We start from the raw sequence: 21797 nt of genomic DNA on the forward strand, positions 1-21797 counted from the left end.
CTTGAGAGCAGCTGAAACTTCTTAGACTGCAAAAGCAAAATTACCTGGAGAAGAAGGTATTTTTAAACACATGTTTTCCCAAAGAAGGCAGCTGCTCACTACATGAATTCTTTGAGCACTGCCATGCTCAGCAGTTAACTTTCTTTACTTGAAGGTACCAGGGCAAGGAAGATAACCTCAACACATTGTTCTTCTATTACTGTTACTATGTTCTCAGTACTATTAAAAGGCTGATATTTGACAGCAAAGAAATTATTTTTTTAAAACAATCTTAGAAGAAAGGAAAGGTTTTTGTGTTTTTTAGATAAAAAATATTATTACCAAATCTTCAGTCACTTTAGTTATTCTTTTTTCTTTTTCTTTTTCTTTTTCTTTTTGAGACGAAGTCTTGCTCTTGCTGCCCAGGCTGGAGTGCAGTGGTGCAATCTCGGATCACTGCAACCTCTGCCTTCCTGGGTTCAAGTGACTCTCCTGCCTCAGCCTCCTGAGTAGTTGGGATTACAGGTGCCTGCCAGCACTCCCGGCTAATTTTTTTTTTTTTTTGTATTTTCAGTAGAGATGGGTTTTCACCACATTGGCCAGGCTGGTCTAACTCCTGACCTCATGATCTGCCTGCCTCAGCCTCCCAAAGTGCTGGGATTACAGGCGTGAGCCACCACACTGGCCTAATTATAATTTTCTAAAGAGTAGCAAAGAAAGTCTATCTTGTATCTACAGAGAAAAGAAACTTCTGCCTAGAATATTCCTTTTCCTTGAGTTGTTTTATCACTTGTTTTTTAAATACTAACTTTATTTTCATTTTATCCAACAGTGCACTGATATTGCAATACTGAATATTATTTAAGTCAAAATTAAGATAAGTGTATTTTTATCATGTGCTTTGCTTTTGCATATAAGGATGTGTAAATACATTGATTACTTGATTGTTTATAGAAAATGTTAATAAGTACTGACACTTTTCTTATACATGCAAATCTGTTGCCAAGTATGATAATTATACTAGGCTAAAATCACTCTCGTATAAAATTTATCTATGTATTGGCCAAATGTGCTTCATAATTGGCAGCAATTGAGACCTGTATTGATAGATATTTGTAATTAGAATGATAATCATTTGGACTTGCAATCAAGAAGGCCCTGTATTAGGTTGGGTGGGAAAGCAGAATTTTTGGATAAGCAGAGAAAAGCAAATAAATTCCAAATTGGAGTGCCAGAGAATCTAGCAGTTAATTAAACTAAGACTGCTCTCCTATCATCTGGCCAAATAAGAAAATAATTACATTTATTTTCTTTATGTCTAACATCAAGTCATCAACTGCATAGTGCTTTTCTTCCAGCCAAGCCAAGAGGTATGTGTGAGGGTTCACTGTTGAACACAAGCTACCCCTAAAACCTGAGTCTACCCGGGTGCTTGCCTGGAAGACTGATAATGGCTTGCTAGTGGCAGGTAGCTAGAGTAACTCATTCTTCAATTATCCAAACTCCAGTCTTAGCATTTGCTTCCCGATTCTTTTTGAAAAGAACCTAACTGACATATATACAAGCATTCTTTTCAGTTGGCTGTAGCTTTCACTCTATAATACAAATAAACCTTTACCAAATAATAGCTTTTTAAAAAATTATATATATGTATATATATTTATATATATAAATTATTTCAGTGGCTAACTTTGAAAAACCGATTATTTCATTAAGATACATTAAACTGAAAAGAGTAATTATGTGTAGGAAAAAAATGCTCACACAAAATGCTTATGCCCTAATCCCGGAGCCTATGAATATGTGACCTTAAGTGGCAAAAGAGATTTGCATATATCATTATTTAAGAAACTTGAGATTGAGATATCACAGGTCCTTACAAGAGGAAGGAAGAAGGTCAGAGTACATGAGATGTGGAGATGGAATAAGATGTCGAAGTGATATACACTGAAAATGAAGGAGGATGGGGCCACAACCAAACATTGCAGTGTCCTCCAGAAGCTAGAAAAGGCAAAAAACCCAATTCTCCCTTAGAGCCACCAGAGGAAATGCAGTTTTGTAGAGTCTGATTTTAGCACAGTGAGACCTATTTCAAATTTCTAACCTCCGGAACTGCAAGTTCATACATTTGTGTTGTCTTAAGACAAGAAATTTGGGGGCAATCTATTAAAAGAGCAACTGACAACTAATGTGCCCATTAGAAAATTGTATATAGAAACTAGAAACTGTAAAAAATTCATGGAAAGAATTCCTTGGTAATATTGTTTAGGATGTTAAACTCAGGAAAGAATTAAGTTTCTCGGCTACTAATTGTTTCATATAAGCATTTACTTATTTATCCCAGTATGTGCATATTTATTCCAGTAGCACCTTTTTTGCTGCTGAATCTTTATGAATTTTCATGATTTTTTTTCACTTGTATCAACAATTGTGTCCTGTATAGTATTTGATATTGGGAACATGTTACCACTCCTCAACTGATCTTAACCAGAAATTGACATAAACCATGGTGCTCATCTACTTTTAAGTTTACATTTTTGAGTGACACAGCAAACAACCCTTGTTATACAATATATGACAATATATGAACACTTTGAGATTTATTTTCATAGACAATTATCTGTAGCTTTACTCCAATATATAGGCATAGCATGTAGTTTATATAAAGTATAAATGTTAGGTGTCCTGTGTCATTTAGGACTAAAGCATTTTAATTTGTGCTTTCAATGAGCTTTTTCCCAATCTAAGCAGTGAGCAAATTGTCCTCTCATATAATGTGACATAAAGAGTGGAAACAAAACAATAATCTCCTAGCAACACATGCAAATGGACATCGCACAAAAATCCCATAACACTAATGACTTCTAATCATAGGCAAAAAGACCTAAAGACCAAATTTATACACTTTCTGTCTTTAAGTTTTTACAATCATTGCTTTAAATTAAAATGAAAACTTTCAGATAACATGTTTCCATTTCATAATGTTGTGTTACATATAGTCTCCCTAATTTTTATTATGAAATCCTTTGAAGCTATTTTATTTTGTTACCAATAATTCATTAGTTTGATTTCGAGCACAATGCTCTTTTCAATATCCAAGAACCATTGGGAAAATGCTATATTATCTATAATTTAACCAAATAACTTTATGTTTAATTTAATAAATAAAGCCACTTGTTCTGTTTTCAAATTCAGTTATTCCATTTTCAAGCTGACATAAGTTAGATCAATGAATATGTAATTAAAAATTGGTACCAAGAGATCTCAGAACTAGTGATTATAAATCAAATAGGAAAGGTAATTTTATTAGTATCCTATTGGTGAATTAGCTTCCAAATTCTCCCGAACTTAGTGGCTTAAAACAACAGAAATTCATCATCTTACAGTTCTGTAGGTTAGATGTGTGACATGGGTCTAACCAGGCTAACATAAAGGTGTGTGTTCTGGAGGTCCTAGGAAAGAATCTGTCCTTGCCTTTTCCTGCTCCTAGAGGCTGTCCCCAATTCCTTGGCTTGTGGCCCCCTTGGTCCATATCCAAATCCAGCAACAGTTCACCTCTCTGATTATTCTTCCATACTCACATCTTCTGACTGTAGCCAGGAATGATTCTTCAGTTTTAAGGACCCATGTCCTTTTATACCAATAGAGTGGTATATAATTAGGTTGGGCCGTACTGGATAATCCAGGATCATCCCCTCATTAAGTTCCTTTACTTAGTCACATCAACAAAATCCCTTTTGCCATGGACTGTAACAGATTCACAGGTTCTGGGGATTAGGATGTGGATATCTGTGAGAGTCACTATTCTTCCTACCACAGTAATCTTCTACAGCATTTTTTAAAAAATCAGTGATTTGAGGAACTTGAGAAAGCTAAGAGGCAAAAGAAGCAAGTTTGACTGTTGACAAAATGAATGATTTTGGCAGAATATCAGCTATTCTTATAGAGATAACTATAAATTCCTGCATTAAAAACAAACAAACAAATGAAAAAACTAAACCAACCAGTAAAATGTGAAGACAAACAGAGATTTGCAAGAAATACATACCTAGAAGAGTGAAGGCTTTTAGCTAACTCTAAAAATAACATGAAGCAATATAATCTTACAATGTATCTATTCAAAAAGCTGAGACACCATTTTAGGCAGGCTTTACACGTGTACAATTTTCAGAATGTGGAGTCTGGTGATTTAACAAATTTCCGAGATGACCAGATGAGAATAGAAGGCGATAATAAATTAGAATGTATCAAAAAGAGGGTGATTACAATGACAAGTAGAATGAACGCATGCTGGATGCAAAAGAGTTAAAACAACTAGAGATGGTAAACTAGGAAATGAGAATATTGATAAAAATACAGTGATTATCATCATACTCTAGAAATACTGTAAAAGAAACTAGTATTTAGCGGGAGGCTATTCTCTTGCCACTGCAGTATCTTTATCTGATTGTTGCAAACTTATTCCATCTTTATATTTGTATAAAAGGCTTTAAAAATATTCTTGAAATAAAGTAGCAGCATACTTAAACTCCTAGCCATGAACTATAAATGATGATTTTTTATGAAAAAGTAGTCTGAACAATAATAATTTAGAGGAAACTAATATACCCAACACACTTGAATTACATATCTCTAAAATTCATTACAATTCTCATTTATAATAAATTGGTATGTAAAGCTAATGGATTTTTCAAAGAATATCTTTTCTATATTAACATTGTTGCTTTCAGTAACTTTCCATTTATTATAATTACTAGGGTTTACAGATTAGTAAATTAAAAATAGGAACTTCAATAAAATTTGAATTTAAAATAAACAAAGAAAAAGTTTTTAGTATAATTGTGCCCCATGCAATATTTGTCATTTATCTGAAATTCAAATTAAACTGTACCACCTGCATTTATCAGACAAGTCTAATTAATTTTAAAAATACAAACATAGAAAAAGAGCAGCCATTAACTGTTGCAAGAAAGGCTATTCCAAACCTTCAAGATTTATTTTAACAAAAAATAAAACTTTATGAATCAAGTAAAGTTGATGATTATTCACTTTATATTAGTCTCTGCTTTCAGTTTCTAAGTATGTTTCAAATTTATTTTTCACTTTTTATATTTATTATATTGTTGTAGATGGCTTTTGATATATTGCTACTTATTATTATCATTTACTAAAAGGAAATTAAGTAGCTCTGCAAGATCTACAAAGAATAAATTTATCTCCATGCAAAAGTTGATCCAAAAAATCAAATTAATCTGAAAGAGAAAGAAAAACTATAAGAAACTAAAATAGTTCTATTTATAGGCTTAAATGTGTAATGATGCTGCATCCAAGGTTCCCTAACTTGGGATCCAACAATTATGCCCATTACAAGGGCCTGGGATTACATCTATATTATAAAAGTGGCTGCTATTTTGGGATATTAACAAAGTTTCATTAATAACTGTATTCAAGGAAGGAAGAATTATGACAACACAGGATAATGATTTAGAGTTTAGAGGGATAATATAATCTTATTTTGTTAAAAGAACAAGAGGAAAAGAACAAAACCTGACATAATACAAATGTATTAAATCATTTTGATGATATGCTAAATCTACATAGTGTAAAATGACATAGAAAACTTGTTCTGCTGATGTGAAGTAGATAGTTAAGACCTTTGACATATGGGAAAGGGAAATGGTTTTCAGAAATGGTAGACACAAAGTTGGTAAAAGAAATGTGGTGAATAATAGAGCCCCAACATAAGGATAATTGTTTAGAGATTTTGGAGGGGTATGGGACACACTCTGAAAATGTGCTTTTAAATCTTTTGACAATAAAGCTAATGGAGAAATTTATGAATAAAGCAAGAGGGCAGCCACAAAGCCATGATAAAATATGGCTTTTCTGCAATTTGAATTTAAATACAGTACCTTAACATGTCCTACCCTAGGTTGCCTTCTTTATTCATGCTTATCTGTTTAGATCCTCCGGGCTTCCAGTATTTTTTATGTGCCTCCATTTATAATTAGCTACATAGATGAGTTTTAATGCTACTTTATAACATGAGTATAACATCTTATACTATATAAGATGAGTTTAATAGCTTTTATGCTATTGCTATCTTATTCTTTTGACTATTCTTAAAAAATAACCCTAATATATAATTGGTAGTATCTATTATCCAAATGAGTTTCTGTAGTTTTTAAACAAGTGACTATTAATAATTGTGCTAAAATATAGTTGGAAATCTCATTGAAATTAATAGCTGAGGCAAGATAAACTTCAAAACAACACAAGATGAAAGATGATGAATTTTACTTAACAATGTACACACTTAAAAATATATGATATGTTAATGAAAATGTTATCCATGAAATAACTGTTATTTTTAACACCTGTTAATTTTTAAATAATACTAATACAATAAGATAGATGTCATGACAACAAAAGTGACTGACAATCACCCAATGAGCAAAGTTCAGAATCTATTTTAGAATTTATAGGGACACAAGCTGGTCATTTGCAGTAAAAATTGCTGTGATGTAGTTTCAAATCTGTGACCTTTGCTAAGCCCCTGGGTTCATTTGCAATAGTAGTACCTAGCAATGTCAAGATCAATACATGCCAACCATTCTATTTATTTAATACATGCTACCTCATTTAATACTGAACAGTACTATAAATAAATGTTAATAATTATTTCCATTTTAGAGATAAGAAACTGAAGGTTAACTAACCTTTTCAATGTTATACAGTGAATAAATGATAAAGCTGTATTTCAGACCCAGGTTTTCTTGGTTTGGGACCCAATAATTTCTGATAGACACTAAATGTCTGAGAATTTGTTTTGTGAATTTATTGCATTATTATAAATTCAAGTGCAGGAAAGCTGCACTTAGGAATACTTTAGGTGTAGCAACTCCCAAATATTTGCAGGTAGCATCATATCTGGGGAGTCACACAGGCAACTGATTGGCCATTTGGTGGTTTAAAATCAATATATTCAGCAACTATGTCATTACTAGTCTTTTGGAAATAAGTATAATTTTTGACAGTGACAAATACTGACTTTGTGATACCCAGAATTATGACTGCCTGTCTTTCCAGTTCAAGGACAATATAATAAAACAAATAATAAATTTTTAAAACTAAAAGCAATGCATTTTCATTATTTGCATATATAATATAATTACAGAAAAGTTGCTTAAAGATGAGAGAGATAGAAAATAGAAGACAAAGAAAGAAGAAAGTCATCAGGGGAAAAAAAGACAAGAAAGCAAGAATTTAAAATTGAAATGTGGTAATTCTACTTGTTGATCAACCTACTGGGTATGGGTCTTGGGGAAAGACTGCCATGTCTGCCAGCAGCCCAGTTCTTGAGCACTTCTCTTGAGCACTTGAGAGAATATAGCCTCCTGGAGTGTGAATTTTATTTTTAAAGTTTGTGTGTGTGTGTGTGTGTGTGCATATGTGCATGTGCACACATATATTTTCCAAGATGGTTTTAATAACTATCTTATCTGGTGCTTATATGAAACAGAAAATTTAAAAAAAAACTGTTTCAAAATTGAAGAGAAATACATGATCAAATTTGCTGAGAAATTATATGTCAGATTACAATGTGATATCTAACTATGATCATATACATGTTGAGGAAAAAAAAGAAATTAAATTTGAAGGGACTTATAATTTTGCCTGAAAGGTTTCATCCAAATATTATTTCTAAATGATTGCTATTTTAAAAAACTGCTTTTGGAAAGAACATCAAAATTCTCTTTCCTTATTTATTATACTCTTTAGAAATTAATTACGAAATATATATATTTTTTTCTTCAGGCAAAAAGCTACTTGCCCAAGTTCAATTTACAAACCACAAACTTCATAAACAACCAAAAAGGCATACTTTTTTTTATAAAAGAGACCATTTTTTGAGATCAGATGAATTTTAAATTTTTAAAAATTATATGATACACAATAAAACAAAACCTTAAACTCACCCGCTCTGCAGAAAATTTGTGTCTCATACATGTTAAAATTTGTGAAGGATATAAAAAGTCATTCCCTACTTCAAAGCTAACAAGTTATCCTGCTACAGCATTATGGAAAACACAAGATTCCTGAGTCAGAAACAAAGGAGTCTCTCACTCATGGATCAGATGGTAGCATTCGCATCAGTTCCTTTTGCCTCCCCTATCCCAGTACCACAGGGATGATGGCAAGACGGGCCCAGATCCATGTGCACACTCAATAGGTTTGTCTTACATCTGAGGATGCCTAAGGTTAGGAATCTTCAGTCACAGCTGGGTGATGCTAGAAAGTTGCCCAACTCTGCCCCCAGAGGAAATATTACCTTAATTATTCTGTTCAAGAAATAATTCTGAACCCTGGCTTGGAGGGATACACTGTTTCTGTATTTCTAGGCTGTTTTTATTTAACATCCTTGAACAGATGGTCCAAAACAGAATTGGATTCAAAATGTGCAGAAATTTGAAAATTATGGAGAATTATCTCCCAACAATATGCAAATATCAGAATATTTGGGGGAAAATAGAGTTTTTTAATAAAAAAGTCATTGTCTACAGGTTAACTATCATTGAACTCATCATATTATCTTTATCACTGTGTGGCAGGAAAGAACAAAATCAATGTGATGGATGATTTAAGAAATTTCAATCTAAATTTGGTCATGTGTGATTTTCCCTTTACATACTGAGTTTAAACTTAAAATATTTTTCCACTTCCTTCATATTTAATTTCCAAAACTCCTCTGAGAGTTGTGGTTGTTGTCACTATAGTTGCTGTCGTTCTTGTGTTATTATTTTTACCTTCTTACATATCAGACAAATGAGGTTCATAGAGGTTAAGTAAATTTGCCTTAGGCCATATAGCTAAAGGCTTTTGTTTTTTTAATGTACAATGCTGCTTTACAAAAATAATTACCAAAAGATGACAGTTCCTTAGTTTACCATAGATATGAAGATTTTAAGAACAGATCATATTGATTTTGAATTCAGCTGGAAATTAGCTGGATAATACAGGCTTCTTCGAGGAGAACTCACAAAGTGTAGTGGAAAAAATAACTTCTTAGAAGATAGCACGATGCTAAAATAATTTTATCTCCACTATTTATCATCACAATCATGGTAACAACTTAAGTTTCCTTTCCATATGTCTGTAAAGTGGTGGTAACTTTAGTTGCCATAGAGGTTTATCTGCAGATTAGATTAGATACGACATGTAAAATTAACAGCATATAATTGGTGTTCATTAAATTGCAGTAATCATTTTGATCATTTTCTCATTCTGAAAAAAATGTCAATATGTCTCATTGTTTCCTTCTTTTGTAAAGCTGCTAGACATAATAAGCCTGAGTTGTTTTTGTAAATTAAAAGACAGAATTAGAAAACATATTTCCAGATAGAATAAAGATATGCTCCATTAGTTTTTTTATGGCATCATAAATCAGTGTTTCAAAATTAAGTAATTCAAGAGACCTTTTAGCTATTAAGATGTTGGTTCATGTTCTAGTTCAAACACATGACTTTAGTTCAGCAAAATATTACAATATGTTAGTGATTTGCATATTTTGTGTGACATGCTAACTCAAGTATATCAAATGATAATTTTATGCTCACCTTAGAACTGCTTGCAAAAAATAAGACGGTGTGTAATTCTCTAGAAACTCATTTCTAAATGTGTCTTAAAATTATACTTTATTTTCTACAAGAAACTTTTTCAAATATGCGTGCATTTTCCTCTTAATTATTAAGTTTCATATTTTATATTTTCATAGATATTTTGTATAATGTGAGTGGCATTTTGATTAAATCAGTAGCAAGTGAATTTTATGCAAATATTACTAATATCTTTTGAATTGGAAAAGGTGACTATAGTTTTAATTGTATCATTCAAATAGACTTTTAATCATATTCTTAAATTAATATGATGTGTCACTATACATTTTACACAAAATGTATCTGATGTCATTACAATAGCGCAGATAATCACATATAAATTGCTTTTTTTCTCTACAAAAACACAGTAATAGAAGTACTCATAGCACTAGCAGACCAATTACAGTCCAAAAGTCAAATCTAGCCCACCGTCTATTTTGACAAAGTGTTTTTTGTTTGTTTGTTTGTTTGTTTGAGACGGAGTCTCGCTCTGTCGTCCAGGCTGGAGTACAGTGGCGCGATCTCGGCTCACTGCAAGCTCCGCCTCCCGGGTTCACGCCATTCTCCTGCCTCAGCCTCCCGAGTAGCTGGGACTACAGGCGCCCACCACCATGCCCAGCTAATTTTTTTTTTGTATTTTTAATAGAGACGGGGTTTCACTGTGTTAGCCAGGATGGTCTCCATCTCCTTACCTCGTGATCCGCCCCTGCCTTGGCCTCCCAAAGTGCTGGGATTACAGGCATGAGCCACCGCGCCCAGCCGACAAATAAAATTTTATGGAAAGCAGCCAAACTGATTCATTTATATATTGTCAATATCTGCTTTCTGGGGGGTGCAGTGGCTCATACCTGTAATCCTAGCACTTTGGCAGATCGAGGCGGGAGGATCACTGGAGGTCAGGAGTTTGAGACCAGCCTGGCCAACATGGCAAAACCCTATCTCTACTAAAGATACAAAAATTAGCCAGGCATGGTGGCACGCTCCTGTAATCCCAGCTACTTGGGAGATGAGGCAGGAGAATCGCTTGAACCTGGGACGGGGAGACTGCGGTGAGCCAAGATCGCACCACTGCACTCCAGCCTGGGTGACAGAGTAAGACCCTGTCTCAAAAAAAAAGGCAACAATATATGTTTTCTCACAATGACAAAGAGAAGTAGTTATGATAGAGATAATATTGCCCTCAAAGCCTAAAATATTTACTTTCTGATGTTTATCATTTTAAAACTGTGCTGGTCTCTGCATAACACAATTATATTTGCATTATTTGAAAAATGTAAAAGTAGTTTATCTTGTAGGCAAATGACATTGAAGTATATAGGCCAAAGCATCAATGATTCCTATCCATTCTCAATATCTCACCCACCATCACTCTCCCACAGAGAGTAACCCTTTAATTAGTGTTTATCCATTTCAACTACTTTATTTTAATTATCTAAAGGGAATTTTCATATTTTAAAAATAGCTGAAATTCTATAGAAAAAAGGCAAAATACGCCCATAAATTAAATCTAATGTTCCAGCTTTCAATAACACTTAATCTACACTTGCCCTGTCCTTTCCTGAATCCCATAAATAATCACCATTATTAGTTTGATATGAGTTCTTTCAGGCTATTTTGAATATATTGATATGATTTTTACTTGTAGAAATAGGTAATTGTGTGGTATGTGTAGTGTTTGTATCAATTTATTATATATTATGTACTTTTCTGAAACTGCCATTTTTCACTTAACAACTCGCCTTGACCATTTGTGGATACTGGCATGTTTACACATTCGGCATTTTGTTTAACTTTTTCATTAACTGCCTGGATCATAATTTTTTAAGATTATTCTACTGAAAACACTTAAACTCTTACTAATTTCTTAGTAAGGTACATAAGTCTTACTTCCTGGTTGAGGAATAAGTTGATTGTTTCAAATTGGATTTTCTTGAATGATTGCTAAGTTGGTCATTCTTTATTGGTAATTGTAGCACTACTGTATATTGCATATTTGCACAGTTTGATATATTTGCCACTTCACTATTATTTTTCTTATTTAAGGTTAGAAAACCACATACACACAAAAACATTCTATTCACAATGTCAAACAATTCACCAAAAGTACTAAACATGCAAGGAAGTAGGAAAAGGTAAACCACATTTAAGAGAAAAATGAAGCTAATGAAAATGATTTAAAAATGATTACTATAAATATGCTTAATATTTATAATGAAATCATGAATATTTGAAGAGAAGCAAAAACTATAAAACCAAAACAAAACTACTAGATATAAAGATACAAAATCTGAAATGAAATATTCATTATTTTTGGTTAATAACAAATTAGGCACTACAGAAAAAAATATGAAGCAAATTGAAGCCATAACAATGAAACTAAAATTAAACCTGGGGAAAGAAATGTTAAAAATTAAATAAAGCTTCAATGAGCATCAGGAAAATATTAACTGGTTTAGAATATATATATACATGTGGGCTCCAGAATAAGAGAAAAACAATAGTAAAATATTTGAAAAAATAATGGCTGAATACATTTAAAATTTGTTGAAAAGTATAAATGTTTGTCAAGGAGTTTAAGGAGGGGGGCTAAAAAGGGAAATATATTCTTGTATACAGCTAGCATCATACATTAGGGTGAGAATGAAATGCATTTTTCCTAAGACTAGAAGTAAGGCAAGAATATTCACTTTCAATATTTTTATGCGACATTTTACTGATCATCTTCAAGCCAGTGGAATAAAACAATAAAAAGAAAGAAATGGATTATATGTCAGAACAAAAGACATAAGACACTTTATTTTGCAACATATCATGTTCATCAAAAATTCTAAAACAGGAGTCTGCAGACTTGTTATAAAGGAAAAGTTATTAAATATTTTAAGCTTGCAGCATATACAATCTAGCTAGCAACCATTCAACTCTAAAACTGTGGTTCAAAAGCAGCCATAGACAAATGACTGTGTCTGTGTTTCAGCAAAACTTTGCTTACAAAATCAGGCAAGGGGAGACACCAGAAGTAGAGTGATCAGAAATTCTGGGCCCATCTGCCCCAGAAACACCAAAAAACATGAGAAAACAGTCAGAACCAACCTTATTGTGTCTCTTGAGGCTATTTATGCTCTCTCTGAAACATGCAGAAAAATTCTTACCAGACTGTTCCAAGCTTCTGGTGACTTCCTGGCAATCTTTGGCATTTTATTGCATGTGGATGGATAATTCCATTCCTCTGTCTTCACATGGCATTCTCCCTGTGACTCTTCACATGGTCTCTCCTCTGTTCATGCCTGTGTCTGTATCCAAATGTCCCCTTCTGTAAGAAAACACCAGTTAGACTGGATGAAGGTCTACCCTGACAGCTTTATTTTAAACTGCTTACATCTACAAAGACCATATTTTCAAATGAGGTCACATTCTGAGGTAATGCAGATTAGGAATTCAACATATGTATTTTGGGAGGGGGTGTAAAATTTGACCCATAATCTATTGCAATAAATTAAATAAACTAGATGAACATATTTTTAGAAATAAACAAACTACCAAAATTAACTCAATAAATAGAAAATCTGAGAAGACTCAATAAAGGTAAAGAAAATGAATCAGTAATCAAAAACATCAAAAAAATCCCAAAAAACAAAATTCCAGAACCACATAGTTTCACTAATGAATTCGATCAAGCATTTTAAAAATAATTAACACTAATCTTTCCCAATTTATTTGCCCCCAAAATATTAGTAGAAAATTAACTTATTCTACAAGGCTAGCATTATATGGTACCAAAAATAGATAAAGGCATTATAATTAAAGAAAACTACATATCAATATCCCTTATGAATATGAGTGAAATAATTATCAACAAAGTACTAGCAAACTGTATTGTTTTTTACTATTTTTTGACTGTCTGTAAGAAATCACAGACATAGTACTTTTGTAAACAGCATATTAAAAATGTTTTATTTAATGACCAAATGGAATTTGTATCAGGAAAGCAAATGTGGTTCACAATAAGAAAACTAATTAATATAATAAACCACATTAATAGAACCAAAAGGAAAAAAACAAACAATTATCATTTCAATTGATGCAGGAAACATAATAAATTTAATATTTTGTCACAATAAGAACATTCAGATAACTAGGAATAGAAGGAAACTCCCTGAACCTAAAAAGGGCAGGTATGCAAAACTCTTAGCTAACATCATGTTCAGTGGTAAAAGTCTGAAAGCTTTGCCTCTGACATTAGGAACAAGACAAGGATGCTTGCTTTTGCTATGCTATTAATATTTACCATTGTAGTAGAAATTCTAGTCAGAGCTATTACCCAGTTGAAAAAAAAAAACCTATCCAAAGTGAAAAGAAAATAGTAAAAGTGTCTATTTGCAGATGACATGATTCCATATATAGATTATTCCAAGGTATACACACACACACACGCACACACACAAACACACACAAATACACATACCAAAACTGCTAGTGCTATAAGCAAATTCATCAAAGTTGTAGGATAGAAAATGAACCCAAACAAATTAGTCCTGTTTCTATATACTAGCAATAAACAATTAGAAAAGGAAACTAAGTGAACAATTCCTTTCCCAATAACACTAAAAGGAACCCAGAAATATCTAGGAATACATTTAGCAAAGAAAGGTAAAGACTTGTTTACTGAAAACCAAAAAATATAGCTGAAAGAAATAAAAGAACACCTAAATAAATGGAAAACATTCCATGTTCATGGCAGTAATATTGTTAAATTGACAATACTACCCAAAGTGATCTACAGATTCAATACAATACTTATAAAATTAATTGAATCCTCATTTTGATGGCCTTTTCTTTTGGGAGAAATGGAAAAGCCAATCCCCAAATTCATATGGAGTTGCAAGGGATTCAAAATAACCAAAACAATCTTAAAAAGGACCGTGTTCTAGATTTCTAAACTTACCACAAAGCTACAGTTAGTTACCAAGACTCTGTGGAACTGGCATAAGCATAGATAAATAGATCAATCAAACAGAATTAAGAATCCAGAAATAAACACATATATTCATGGTCAATTCATTTGCAATAAGAGTGCCAAGATCATTGAGTGGGGTAAGAATAATTTCTTCAAGATACCGTCCTGGAATAATTGGTCATCCACATGCAAAGAAGGAAATTAGACTCCTACCTCACATCATATACAAAATTAACTCAAAGTAGAAAAACAACCCCAAATATGAGTTAAACAATTAAACTCTAAGGAAAAAATAGAAGTAAATCTTTATGATCTTGGATTTGGCAGTGGGTTCTTAGGTATGGCAGCAAAAACATGAACAAAAAAATGGACAAATTGGATTTCATCAAAAGTAAAAACTTCTGTGCATGAAGGGACATTATAAAAAAGTAAGACAAACTATAAAATGGGAGAACATATATGCAAAGCATATACCTAATACAGGTCTTATATTCAGAATATATAAAGAGCTTCTATAACACAACTTAAAAACAAAGGACCTAGTTTCAAAGTGGGCAAAATGCTTTACTGGAAATTTCTCCAATTAAGATATGCCAAAAAGCACATAAAAAGATGAAAAACATAAGTCATTGGGAAATGGAATTCAAAACCATAAGGAGATACTCTCTCACTTGCTATTCCTTGTCTTTTTCTATTATAGGATTCAAAAAACAGATATACGATACAGAATATAATTTTTTTCATAAGAAATTGTTTTAGGTTTTGATTCTATATGCATTTTTATATTTTTTTTATTTTCCTAGTATTACCTATCTGTTCAATCATGATATGTTTTTAGGATAGCTGTGGTTTTTGCATTTATTTTTAATTGACACATAATGATTGTACATATTCATGGGATACAGTGAAATGTTTCAATGCATGTATACAATGCGCTGATCAAATCAGGGTAATTAGCGTATCTATCATCTAAGACATTTCCCATTATTTTGGGTAGGGAACATCCAAAATTTACTCTTCTAGTGATTTTGAAAATATACAATAAATGGTTGTTAATTGTAGTCAACCTACAGTGCTACAGAACACCAGAATGTCTTCCTTCTATCTAGCTGTAATTTTATATTCATTAACCAACCTATGGCTATCCTCTGCATCCTTTCCAGTTTCTAGCAACCAGTATTCTACCCTCTACTTCTGTATCATTTTTTTATTTTATAAACTTTTTATTTTTTTGCAAACTTGACTCTTTTGTAATATTTAGCTTAAAACACAAACATTCTAAAGCTGTACAAAACATTTTCTTATATCTTTATTCTATAAGCTTTTTTCTATGTAAAATTTCTTTTTCTTTTTTAGTTTGTAAATGTTTTGTTAAAAATGAAAACACAAACACACACACATTAGCCCAGTCCTACACAGGGTTAGGATAATCAATATCTCTTTCTTCCTCCTCCACACCCTGTCCCACTGGAAGGTCTTCAGGGACAATAACATGCATGGAGCTGTCATCTCCTAGGAAAACAAGGCTTTCTTCTGGAATGCATCCTGAAGGACATGTCTGAGTCTGTTTTATATTAACTTAAAAAAATATGACAAATAGTCATATTGAAATAGGAACACTCTTACATTGTTGGTGGGAGTGTAAACTAGTTCAACCATTGTGGAAGACAGTGTGGCGATTCCTCAAGGGTCTAGACCCATTTGACCCATTGATCCCATTACTGGGTATATACCCAAAGGATTATAAATCATGCTATGGTATCATTTTTCTTTGCTTCCACATATGAGAACACTTTCTGTTTCTGCCTTATTTTACTTATCCTCCAAACTCATCCATTCTGTGTAAATATCAGATTTTCATTATTTTATGTAGCTAAATAGTATTCCATTGTGTTTATATAAACATTTTCCTTATCCTTTCAACTGTTGATGGGCACTTAGGTTGATTTCATGTCTTGGCTATTGTGAATAGAGCTGCAATAAACATGAGAGGGCAATTATTTCTTCAACATACTGATTTTCTTTATTGTGAATATATACTGAATAGTGGAATCGCCTAATATTGTAGTTCTATTTATAGTTTTTTTGTGAAACCTTCATACAATGTTTAATAACAGTTTTTTCGGTACCATTTATCAAAGAGAATGCCCTTTCTCTAATGTATGTTCTTAGTGCCTTTATCAAAAATTAGTGGCTATAAATTTGTGAATTTATTTCTGGGTTTTCCATTGTTTCATTGGTCTGTGTTTGGTTTTATGCCAGTTCCATGCATTTTTAATTATGATAGCTTTCTAGTATGATTTGAAGCCAGGAAGTATGATGCCTCCAGCTTTATTCTTTTTGCTGAATATTGCTTTCCTAAAGTCTTTGGTCTCCATATGAATTTTATAGCTTTTAAGCATTTCTATGAATTGGCATTTTCATAGGTATTGCATTAAATCTTTAGATCTCTTTTGGTATTATGGTCATTTTCACATATTAATTCTTCCCATCCATCAACATGGGATGTCTTTCCATTTTCTTGTGTGTCCTCTTAATTTCTTTCATCAGTGTTTTATAGTTTTCCTTGTAGAGGCTTTTCATGTCCTTTGTTAAATGTATTCCTAGGTTTTTTTTTTTATATATATAGCTACTGTAAATGGGATTGCTTTGTTGATTTTTTATTCTGCTATTTTGTCATAGTGTATAAATACACTACCAATTTTTGCATGTTGATTTTGTATCCTACCACTTTACTGAATTCATTTATCAGTTCTAAGAGGTTTTTTGGTAGAGCTTTTAGGATTTTCTATATGTAAGATCATTTTGTCTGCAAACAGGAACAATTTGACCACTTGACAATTTGACTTCCTTCTTTTCAATTTGGATGCCCTCTATTTTTTCCCTTGCCTAATTGAACTGACTAGGACTAGTTGAATAAGAGTGATGAGAGTGGACATCCTTGACTTATTCAAGTTCTTAGATAAAAAGCTTTCAGCTTTGCTCCATTTAGTATGATGCTAGCTGTGGTTTTGTCATATGGCCTTTATTGTGTTGAAATATGTTCTTTCTTTACTTAGTTTTTTGAGAGTTTTTATCGTGATGAGATGTTGAGTTTTATCAAATGCTTTTTATGCATAGATGGAAAAATCATATGAGCCTCCCACAGAAAAAGTGCTCAATAAATATCTGTCATTGGTGAAAATAGATTATAGATCATATTTTGTTGGAAGTTTGGAGGCAAAGTCTCAAAGGTAAACCTATAATTTTAGGCTCATTCCCTCCCCCACAATATTTGTTGAATACTTAACAAATATTGTTGTTTTTTCTTCATTCTGTTGATGTGATGGATCAAGTCTGTTGATATGAGTATGTTGAATCATCCTTGTATCCCTGGGATAAATCCCACTTGATTATGGTGAATAATCATGTTAACGTACTGCTGGATTCTGTTTGCTAGTATTTTGTTTAGGAGTTTTGCTTCTATGTTTATCAAGTATCTTGGCCTATAGTTTTCTTTTGTTTTTATGTTCTGGTCTAGTTTTAGTATCAGGATACTGTTGGTCTTATGAAGTGAATTTAGAAGAATTTTCTTCAATTTTCTGAAAGAGTTTTGAGGAAAATTGATATTACTTCTTTGATAGAATTCCGCAGACGAGCCATCAGACCTTAGACTTTTCTTTGATTGGAGTCTTTTTTATTACAGATTCAATCTTGTTACTTGCAATTGTTCAGGTTCAATCTTCTTGGTTCAATCTAAGTAGGTTGTATGTATCTATGAATTTATCCATTTCCACTAGGTTTTCGATTTTGTTGTCATGTAGTTGTTTGTAATAGTCTCTCTAATAATCCTTTTTCATTTTAATGGTATCAGTTGTAATGTCCCCTTTTGTGTTTTCAATTTTATTTATTTGAGTCTTCTACAGTCCTTTTAACTAAAACATTTTGTTCTTCTCAGGGTTTACACTTTTTGGGTGTTTTCATTGTGTGTGTGTTTGTTTTGTATAGGAGGAAGTAAGCCATAAGCTGAAGAAATCAGAAGGCCTCTAGAAGCTGGAAAAGGCAAAAGGAAAACAAACAACAATAACAACAACAACAACAACAAAACAGTTTCCCCCCAAAAGCCTCCAGAGATAAACTTAAACATTTAATACCATGAATTTAGCCTGATATAACATATTTTGGACTTCTGAAATCCAGAACTGTAAGATGAAAATTATGGGTTGCTTAAGCTGTTAAGTTTGGTAATTTTTATAGCAGAAATAGGAAATTAATAAGCTTCCTAAACAGGTAATACTCAGCAATTAATTTAACATATGTTTTAATCCCCGTGTCAGGAAAAGGAACATACAAGTCTATTAAATGCAAAGGTTTATTAGCAAAATGAAAGAAGTAATGCATATGAAATATTTATCCCAGTGCCTGACAGTTAAAAGTGTTTGGTAAATGTTCACTTATTCAACAGAATGTTTAGAGCACCTACCATGTGTTATTATCTATTCTAAGGACTGAAAATATATTAATGTATAAAAGGAAAAATAAGGCTCTGTCCTCACATCATTCAAATTATAGTAATATTGTAGCATAGCTAGCATTTAAAAAATGTTTTCCTGTGTTTCATCACCTCTTTTAAGTGTTTTATTTTTCAAGTACTCTTAATTCACGTGTTCTTCACAGCAATCATCTGAGGTAAGTTGTATTATTAGCATTCATATTTTATAGATAGAAAGTTCATGTGCCCATAGTAAATAGAATGGCTGGGATATAAACCCAGACCATTTGTCCTAGAGTCCGTGCTTTGAAATTCTAATTAATTCAGCCTCTTACTGGACTATTATTGTTATTAGATAATTTAGTATTCAGTGTGAAAGACTTAGGTGTGATGCGACAGAATGTGTTTAGCTATACTAAAGAATGAAAACAGTGAGGTTGCTTTGTGGAGAGGAGGCTTACCACAATGATAGCAAATGAAACTAACAGCTGTAAAGAGCACCATCAAGGTACATTACCTAATCCATTGTTCTAGCATCATGCAATGAATTTGGGATATAAAGAGAAAATGTTAAGTGACAAGCTAATATTGGTAGTGTACATTCTTTTTTAATATTTAAAAATAACTTTTGATACCTCAAACAGCATATGGAAAGTGGTAGATATTTGAATATTTCTTGAAATTACATCATGGTTATTTTTTAATATAGGTTTTTTTTTTTTTTTTTTTTTTAGATGGAGTCTCACTCTGTCGCCAGGCTAGAGTGCAATGGCGTGATCTCGGCTCACTGCAACCTCCGCCTCCCAGGTTCAAGCGATTCTCCTGCTTCAGCCTCCCGAGTAGCTGGGACTACAGGCACGCACCACCACACCCAGCTAAATTTTTGTATTTTTAGTAGAGACAGGGTTTCACTATGTTGGCCAGGATGGTCTTTATCTCTTGATGTCGTGATCCGCCCACCTCAGCCTCCCAAAGTGGTGGGATTACAGGCGTGAGCCACCGCACCCTGCCAAATTTAGTTATTTTTAATAAAACATTATTTGATTTATTTTCACTTTGCAATGATAATTATAGAAAGGTAAATATACTCCTAGGTATTCAATATGATCTTTTTAAGATTTGTTTTCACTTATTGGTTTTGATCTTAATTTGGGGTTAAGGTTAGTTTTATTCCTCTCTTTTAATTTCCTAATATTTGTGTTTCTGTCTCTTTTAAAATTTATCTTAGAAAGAAACTGGATTTTTAAAACTTTATTTTTATTTTTTGAGATGGAGTCTCACTCTGTGGCCCAGGCTGGAGTGCAGTAATGCGATCTCAGCTCACTCCAACCTCTGCCTCCTGGGTTCAAGCAATTCTCCTGCCTCAGCCTCCCCAGCAGCTGGGATTACAGGCGCCCTCCCCCACCCCACCACATCCGGCTAATTTTCGTATTTTTAATAGAGATGGAGTTTCACTATGTTGGCCAGGCTGGTCTCGAACTCCAAACCTCAGGTGGTCTGCCCTCCTCGGCCTCCCAAAGCGCTGGGATTACAGGTGTGAGCCACTGTGCCCGGCCTGGATTTTTGAAAGTTTAAATGCTTTCTCTTTTAAAAAGCTAATTTGGAGAGAGGGACAATTACCTTTAATGTTCTTTGATAAGGTTCTTATACTTCAAAGCTATAGGACATGATTAGCCTAAACCTTCTGTGAACTTATGCATGGTCACAGTCATAAATTCATAAGGCTGAAATGAAATGTGTATTAGCCAATAATGTCAATTTATGGTCCTAAAATTGTAACACCTCAATAACAGACTCAAGTTCCAAATTCCAGAAAATTAATGGTAGACTTATTTTCCCATATTAGTTGTATATTTTTCCTGTTCTTATGTTTTCAGTTATTTTCTAATGGAAGTTTAAGTATGCCAAGGATCAACATGTCAAACTTATGCCATTTCAATCCCAGTTTTGACAGTATATCTCTGTTACTAATTTCTACTTTTTTTTCCAGTTAGGCATTCAGCACGTTATATTTATTTATTTTAGTGGAATATATGTCTAAGTAAAACACAGAGAGGAAGAAAGAGAGGGGAGGGAGAGGAAGGGAATAGATCATTGACCCTCATAACTTAAGAATATAGTTATTTGACTAGATGATTGAGATTTGAAAAACCAAGAAACAAGCAATATAAGCAATAAGAAACCTTTCACTTACCACCCATGCCCAGGCTGGAAAGCAAGGAAAAGACTGAGTGGAGGCAATGAAAGAAAAAGGCTTTAGGCCCAAGAGAGGGGATAGGATGCAGAGGGCCTTTGTGGAAAGAAATGGAGAGACTTTTGTGAGATGCCACTGTCCTATCCTCTATATTTCATCACCAATAATTGGGAGTCAAGGCAGCTCACACATTTTGTTCATCAGAGCACCTAAAGCGCCTAAATCTGAGAAGCTACCTAGATTGTCTTATCCATTAGTTTCAGGTTCAAAGCAGGTCATTAATAGCTGCAAAATGTTTAGGCTACTCAGCCATGCCAAAGACAGCAAAGTCTACTTTCACTTTGTTTTCACTTTTATTCCATGTTAAGAAAAAAAAAAAAAAAGGCTTTCTGTCACCAAAGACATTCTTAAGTTCCTTCAAGAAAGGGAATGGGCTCCTAGACACCTATTGTTATACTCGGAACAGTGCTTCAGTGCTTCCAACTCTTAACCAATAATGACGTCCTCCAAAATCTGTGATATGAAAGAAAAAGCCCCAGGAGC

The 21797-nt window shown here is 33.0% G+C and overlaps 1 long non-coding RNA gene across 1 annotated transcript in view, besides 1 other annotated feature; it reads right to left on the bottom strand.

Moving 5' to 3' along the window:
- LOC105371671 (uncharacterized) overlaps positions 1-21797 on the bottom strand; it is a 147500-nt gene that overhangs the window by 103421 nt on the left and 22282 nt on the right. The window contains exon 2 of the long non-coding RNA XR_922391.1: positions 12785-12945. This is a non-coding gene — a long non-coding RNA (uncharacterized LOC105371671). The remainder of the gene's footprint in view (positions 1-12784; positions 12946-21797) is intronic.
- Positions 19529-19608: a silencer, noted in NCBI's record as "silent region_1658". NCBI's record gives its function as "represses an Ori minimal core promoter by ATAC-STARR-seq in GM12878 lymphoblastoid cells {active_cell/tissue: GM12878}" and the evidence as "EXISTENCE:reporter gene assay evidence [ECO:0000049][PMID:35858748]".

The sequence above is a fragment of the Homo sapiens genome, chromosome 1 (genome assembly GCF_000001405.40).
Source record: "Homo sapiens chromosome 1, GRCh38.p14 Primary Assembly".
Taxonomy (NCBI): domain Eukaryota; kingdom Metazoa; phylum Chordata; class Mammalia; order Primates; family Hominidae; genus Homo; species Homo sapiens.